Here is a 7,359-nt window from a genome sequence, read left to right as displayed (position 1 = left end):
AAATTTGTGGGCATACAGTTGTTCATAATATTCTTTTATTTTCCTTTCAATGTCATGGAATCCATAGTGATAGTCTCTCTTTTCTTTCTCTTAATCTGTATCCTCTCTCTTTTTTTCTTAGTTAGCCTGGATAGAGGCTTATTAATTTTATTGATATTTTCAATAAACCAGGTTTTGGTCCTGTTGGCTTTCTCTATTAATTTTCTATTTATAATTTTATTAATTTCTGTTCTAAGTTTTAGCATTTCTTTTTTATGCTTACCTTGAATTTAATTTGCTCTTTTCTTTATAGTTTCCTAAGGTAAAAGCATAGAGTACTGATGTTAGATCGTTCTTCTTTTCTAGTATATACGTTTGATGCTATAACTTTCCCTCTAAGCACTATTTTCACTGCATCTCAGAAATTTTTAATGTTTTGTTTTCATTTTCATTCAGCTTAAAAATTTTAAAAATGTATCTTAAAATTTCTTCTTTGACTCATGTATTATTTATACATGTATTATTTAATCTCCAAGTATTTGGGGGGATTTTCCAGCTGTCTTTCTGGAAAAAAAAGAAATTTATTTCTAGTTTATTTCTCTTGTGGTCTGAGAGCAGACACTGTATAATTTCTATTATTTTAAATTTGTTAAAGTGTGTTTTATGGCTAAAAATTTGGTCTATCTTGGTAAATGTTTCATGTAAACTTGAGGAAAATGTGTAACTGGCTGTTGTGGGATGAAGAAGTCTATAGATGTAAGTTATATCCAGTTGATTAACATCCAGTTGTTGAATTCAGCTACGACCTTAGTAGTACTTTACCTGCTTGATCTATTCATTTTTAACAGAGTCATGTTGAAGTCTCTAAACGTAATAGCGAATTAATCTATTTCTCTTTGAAATCTATCAGTTTTTGACTCATGTATTTTCATGTTCTGTTGTTGGATGTATATTCATTAAGGATTGTTACATTATCTTACAGAATTAACCCCCTATATTACTATGCAATACCCCATTTATTCCTGATAATTTTACTTGTTATAAAATTGGCTGTGCCTCAAATTAATATGGCTACTGTCCCTTTCTTTTTATTAGTGTTAGCATGGTATATCTTTCTCAAATCCTTTACTTTTTTTTCCACATCAAGCAGGTATGATAGTATGCCAACATTGCAAAAAGGTTTGAGAGAAGTGCATCTCACACATGAGTGTCAAAAACCCAGTCATCACGCTTATGAACCCCAAAAGGATTAAATCTTTTACTTTTATTCTGTGTGTCTCGTGGGCAACATACACTTGGCTCTTGTTTTTTGATCCACTCTGGCATTCTCTTTTGATTGGTGCATCTAGACCAGTGATTATTCATATAGTTGGATTAATATCTACTATATTTGTTACTGTTTGCTATTTGCTATCCTTGTTTTTTGTTCCTATTTTTGTCTTCTACTCTTTCTGCCTTTTGCGGTTTTCAGTAAGCATTTTATATGATTATTTTTTCTCTATTTTTTTTTTTTTTTAATTTTTGAGACGGGATCTAGCTCTGTCACCCAGGATGGAGTGCAGTGGTATGATCTGGCTCACTGTAGCCTTGAACTTCTGGTTCAAACAATATTCTCACCTCAGCCTCCTGAGTAACTGGAACTACAAGTGTGCACCATCATGCTCAGCTAATTTTAAATTTTTTTTTGTTGAGACAGGGTTTTGCCAGGTTTGCCCAAGCTGGTCTCGAACTTCTGGGCTCAAGCAATCCACCCACCTAGGCCTCTGAAAGTGCTGGGACTACAGGCATGAGCCACCATGCTTGACCTTCTCTCCTTTTTTTAACATATCAGTTACACTTCTGTTTTCTCACCTTTTTAATGTCTGCCCTTGAGTTTGCAATATAAATTTACTACTAATTCAAATATATTTTCAAATAACACTACACTACTTTAAGGGCAATGTACTTACCTACAGTAATGAAATCATCCTCATTACCCCCCTCACCCCTGGTATCATTGCTGTCATTCATTTCACTTACACATAAACAAATATAATCATAAGCGTATATAAGTAAGAACATGTAATCAAATACATTGTTGCTCTTATTATTTTAAATAAATTGTTATGTTAACTCAATTAAGAATAAAAAAGTTATTTTATCTTCACATGTTCCTTCTTTGATGCTCTTCCTGTCTTCATGACTATTCAAGCTTCTGACATATATACTTTTATTTCTCTCTACAGAACTTCTTTTTAACATTTCTTGTAAGGCAGATTTACTAGCAAAAAATTTCCTCAATTCTTGTTTGTCTAAGAAAGTCTTATTTCTTCACTTTGAAAGATAATCTTATGAAATACAGAATTCTAAGATGTTGCTTTTTTTCTCTCAACACTTTAAATATATTTCACCCCACTGTCTTCTTGCTTGCATGATTTCTGAAGAGAAGTGGGATGTAATTTTCATCTTTGCTCCTTTATAGATAAAGCAGGGTTTCCCCCCTCTGGTTTCTATCAGGATTTTTTCTTTATCTTTGATTTTCTGTAGTTTGAATATGATATACCTAGGTGTGGGATTTTTTGTGTTTGTTGTTTTGTTTTGCATTTATCTTCTTCGCAGTTCTATGATCTTCCTGGATCTGTGGTTTGATGTCTGGCACTAATTTGGAAGAATTGTCAGTCATTATTGTTTCAAATACTTCTATTCTTGTCTCTCTTCTTTCTCCTTCTGGTATTTTCATTACACATATGTCACACCTTTTATAGTTGTCCCACACTCCATGGATATGCTGTTCTGTGTTTTAAGTAAAAGAGAGAGGATCTCTGCTTTTCAGTTTTGGAAGTTTCTGTCAAGGTAACTGCAAGCTCAGAGATTCTGTCCTCAACCATGTCCAGTTTACTAAATAAGCCCATCAAAGGCATTCTTCACTTCTGTTACAATGCTTTTGAACCATAGCATTTCTTTCCAATTTTTTCTTAAAATATCTATCTCTCTGCTCACATTGCCTATCCCTTCTTGCATGCTATCTACTTTATCCATTGGAGCCCTTAGCATATTAATTACAGTTGTTTTAAATTCCAAGTCTGGCCAACAGCAAACAGAGATTGAACAAGTAAAAACACAACAAAGAAAAGCCCAGCACCCGATGGCTTCACAGCGGAATCCTACCAACTTTTCTAAAAAATAGAGCTAGAGAGGATACTTTGAAACACATTTTATAAGGCTAACATCACCTTGATACCTAAGCCAGACAAAGGTGTCATAAGAAAACTACAGGCCAATTTCTCTGATGAATATTGGTGCAAATATCCTCAATGAAATATTAGTAAACCAAACCCAACAACACATCAAAAAGATTTTACATCATGACCAAGTAGTATTTATCTCTGGCATGCAAGGCCAGTTTAACATTGGCAAATTAATCAATATACTACATCACATTAAAAGAATGAATGATAAAAGACACATGATCATCTCAATTGATGTGGAAAAAGCATTCAGCAAAGTCTAATGTTCTTTTTTGATTAAAACTCTGAACAGTTTAGATATAGAAGAAAAGTTTCTCAACACGATAAAGGCCATTTATGAAAAACCTACAGCTCACATTATAATCAATGGGGAAAAAATGAAAGCCTTTTCACTAAGTCTGGTCCAAGACAAGGATGTTCACTCTCACTTTTATTCAACATAGTATTGGAAGTACTAGCAAGAACAATCAGACAAGAAAAATAAATAAAAGGTATTCGAATAAGAAAGAAAAAAGTAAAATTACCTCTACTGCAGATGACATAATCTTACATATATTAAAAACCCCAAAGATCCCATGAAAAACTGTTAGAACTAAAAAATAAATTCAGTAAAGTTGTAAGATACAAAATCAACATAAAAATGAGTAACATTTTTATATGCACATAATGACCTAACCAAAAGAGAAGTCAAGAAATAGTACCATTTATAATTGCATCAAAAAATACCTAGGAATAAGTTTAATAAAAAAGGTGAAAGAAATATACAATGAAAACTATAGAACACTGGTAAAATGAATTGAAAAAGACACACATAAATAAACGGAAAAATAACTTGTGTTCATAGATTGGAAGAGTCAATATTGTTAAAATGTCCATACTGCCCAAAGCAATATTCAGATTCAACAGAATCCCTATCAAATCCCAATGGCATTCTTCACAGGAATAGAAAAAATTTGTTTTAATGCTATGGAGCCATAAAAGACCCAGAATAGCCAAAATAATTTTGAGAAATAAAACGTTTGAGGCATCACATTTCTTGATTTTAAATTATATTACAAAGTTATGGTAATCAAAACAGTATGTTACTGGCATAGAAACAGACACATAGACCAATGGGACAGAATAGAGAGCCCAGAAGTAAATTTAAACATATATAGTCAACTCATTTTTGACAAGGGCACTAAGAAGACACAATTGAGAAAGAATATTCTCTTCAATAAATGGTGTTAGGGGACGGATGCAGTGGCTCAGGCCTGTAATCTCAGCACTTAGGGAGGTTTAAGCAGGAAGATTGCTTGAGGCCAGTAGTTTGAGACCAGGCTGGGCAATTAAGTGAGAGCCCATCTCTACAAAAATTTAAAAAAGTTTAGCTGGGCATGGTGGTGTGTTCCTGTAGTCTCAGCAACTTGGGAGGCTAAGACAGGAGGATCTCTTGAGCCCAGGAGTTTGTGGTTGCAGTGAGCTATGATCACACCACTGCACTCCAGCATGGGTGAGAGAGTGAGCCCTTGTCTCTAAATAAATAAATAAATAAAGCTGGGAATACTGGATTTTCACTTGCAAACGAATGGAACGGAACCATTCATTATCTGACACCATACACAAAAATTGCTGAAAATGGATAAAATATCTAAACATATGACCAAAAACTATAAAAGTCTTAGAAGAGAACATAGGGGAAAAGCTCCTGGACATTGGCCTTGGAAATGTCTTTTTTCTTTTTTGGATATCTCACTAAAACTCAGGCCAGAAAAGCAAAAATTCACCAGTTTTGAGGTACCAGTTTTTTTTTGTTTGTTTCCAACCAAAGTTTTTGCAAAATACAATACAAATCTATTTTTATATCATGTCACTATCAACTTGCTACAAACGTTTATAAATGCCTAATCTTAATTTCTAATCTCATTGGAAAGTGTAAGAACTAATATCCACTACAGTTGCTTACTGTAGAAACTGGCTTCCTAAACACATGTAGTATAGGCTTTATTTCCTCCCTGCCTCACTTTTCCACTTCCCTACTGGTATTTTCTAGGATCACCTCCCAAATAAACTACTTACTCTCAAATGCTTGCTTCCACTCTGTTTCTAGGAAAATCTAAACTGAAACATTAGAAAATCCAGCTGAAGTATCAAATATAACACTAACAGGAGTGGTTAGTACTGAGTCAATAAATAAATTAGAATGTTCTCTTTTACTCAATGAAAATGAAACTCATAAGCTCTAGTTGTTAAACCACTGACTACAATCTTTGAAGTTTAAAAAGAAAGAAACTAAAAACAAACGTCAGACCCATAATTTATTCCAAAGTAGGGGGAAACCTGATCTCAGGATCCTGATTATATGCTACTACCATCCATCTGGTGAAGGGTTGCCATTTTCTTTGTGAGTTATGTGATTTAATGATTTCTTTTATAATATCACAGTAGGCCATCAAAACAATAACTATTTTTTTCCTTTGGCTTAAATAGAGGCTTCTAATTGAACATGAAATGTTTCTACATCAGTTAACATAAACAGTCTCTTCCTTTTTGTCCTAAAATGCCCTTTCTTATCCTGGTGCTTAACTATAATCCTTCAATTTTTAAAAAAAGAATGAGCCTAAGCTCCAGAGTGCAAAAATATCATCTAGTTTAGCTTGGAGTTTTTAAAGGAAGTGTACCCCGGATGAGTTATTGGCATACTGAAATTCTTCTTTTTAGTTATAATGTATATTATATAGAGAAATTCAGAAAGATTTTAGCATCATGTAATGGGAAGTATATGACTTTTGAGTTTTAATCCTGACTGCTCTGGCTTGAATTCTGATTTTGTCAGTTACCAAATATGTGATGTGTAAGTTTCTGTAATGGATTTAATGATTCTAAGTATTTCCTAGGGCTGCTGAGATGTTAATGAAATTATGATCTATTTGAAAATATCTGGCACAATTGAAGAGATAAATCAAAAATTATTTTAATGTCGAGTTTTACGCTGATTTCAACAGTTGGGAAGAAGAACATAGAAAAGGAGAAATTATACTGAGGAGTAAAAGATAGTATTTCAGTAAAGATGAGAATGATTTAGTGCTGGTGTTGTTTATTATTGTTCTACCATACGAACCTTAACAGTCCCCCTTCCCTCTTCTTCTTCAACCAAAGGAACCTGCTCAGATGGAATGTGGTATATTAATCAGGAACCTCTCTGGCTTTCTTTGATTGTGCTCTGTGGAATAAAATGAAGCTCAAAAAATGAAAGAAAAAAATCAAAATAATGTCTCCTGCATATGAGGCCACAGGACACTCAATGTAGCCATATCATAAATCATCAACAGGAAATACCAGTGAAGATCTATATCTCTAGGACAGCTTGGCTTGTTAAAAATATCTAATGCCACCATTATAGCAACTCTTTAGTTCCTCTTTTCCTTTGTTCAGTGGTAATTGTCCTTCTGCCGAACAATTCATCTCTCCCAGAGTTGTCTCCTGACTAGGAAATGTGTACAACTGGCTCTGAGTTATGGATTCTCAGCCTGGAAAACCCTTCATTGCAGTTCAGCAGTGTTTAAAGTTAAAGTGAAGAGCAACCAAAAGCATAGAAGAAAATAAATGGCCCCTAGAAAAGTCGGTTGAATAAAAAAATGGATGTTGATGAAAATATTTTCACTTCCTCCTGTGTTTGATAAAGAATAAATAATGAAAGGACTAGTTTTAGAGAATACTCATAAAAATATGACAACAGTGATGAAAAGGCCATGAGCATGACAATTTTTTTTGTTTTAAAATGTTAATATCTTTTTTTATTATTATACTTCAAGTTCTAGGGTACATGTGCACAACGTGCAGGTTTGTTACATAGGTATACATGTGCCATGTTGGTGTGCTGCACCCATCAACTCATCATTTACATTAGGTATTTCTCCTAATGCAATCCCTCTCCTAGCCCCACACCACCCAACAGGCCCCGGTGTGTGGTGTTCCCCGCCCTGTGTCCAAGTGTTCTCATTGTTCAATTCCCACCTGTGAGTGAGAACAGAGCATGACAATTTTAAGAGCTCAAATGTAGTTTATCGCAGCCTTCTGCAATCATAAATAGGTCACAACGGAACCTTCATAATATAGTTTAAAGCCAATGAATTAACATGATTATGTTTTCAGTTTTACCAGCTAAAATCAG

General features: G+C 33.9%; 1 pseudogene; it reads right to left on the bottom strand.

The window, feature by feature from the left end:
• Window positions 1–1,119: 1,119 nt before the first annotated feature.
• LOC124902351 (uncharacterized) lies at window positions 1,120–1,229 on the bottom strand (annotated as a pseudogene).
• Window positions 1,230–7,359: the final 6,130 nt, after the last annotated feature.

Source organism: Homo sapiens, chromosome 9 (assembly GCF_000001405.40).
Source record: "Homo sapiens chromosome 9, GRCh38.p14 Primary Assembly".
In the NCBI taxonomy this organism is placed as follows: domain Eukaryota; kingdom Metazoa; phylum Chordata; class Mammalia; order Primates; family Hominidae; genus Homo; species Homo sapiens.
This window is presented reverse-complemented; position numbering and strand designations above follow the sequence as displayed.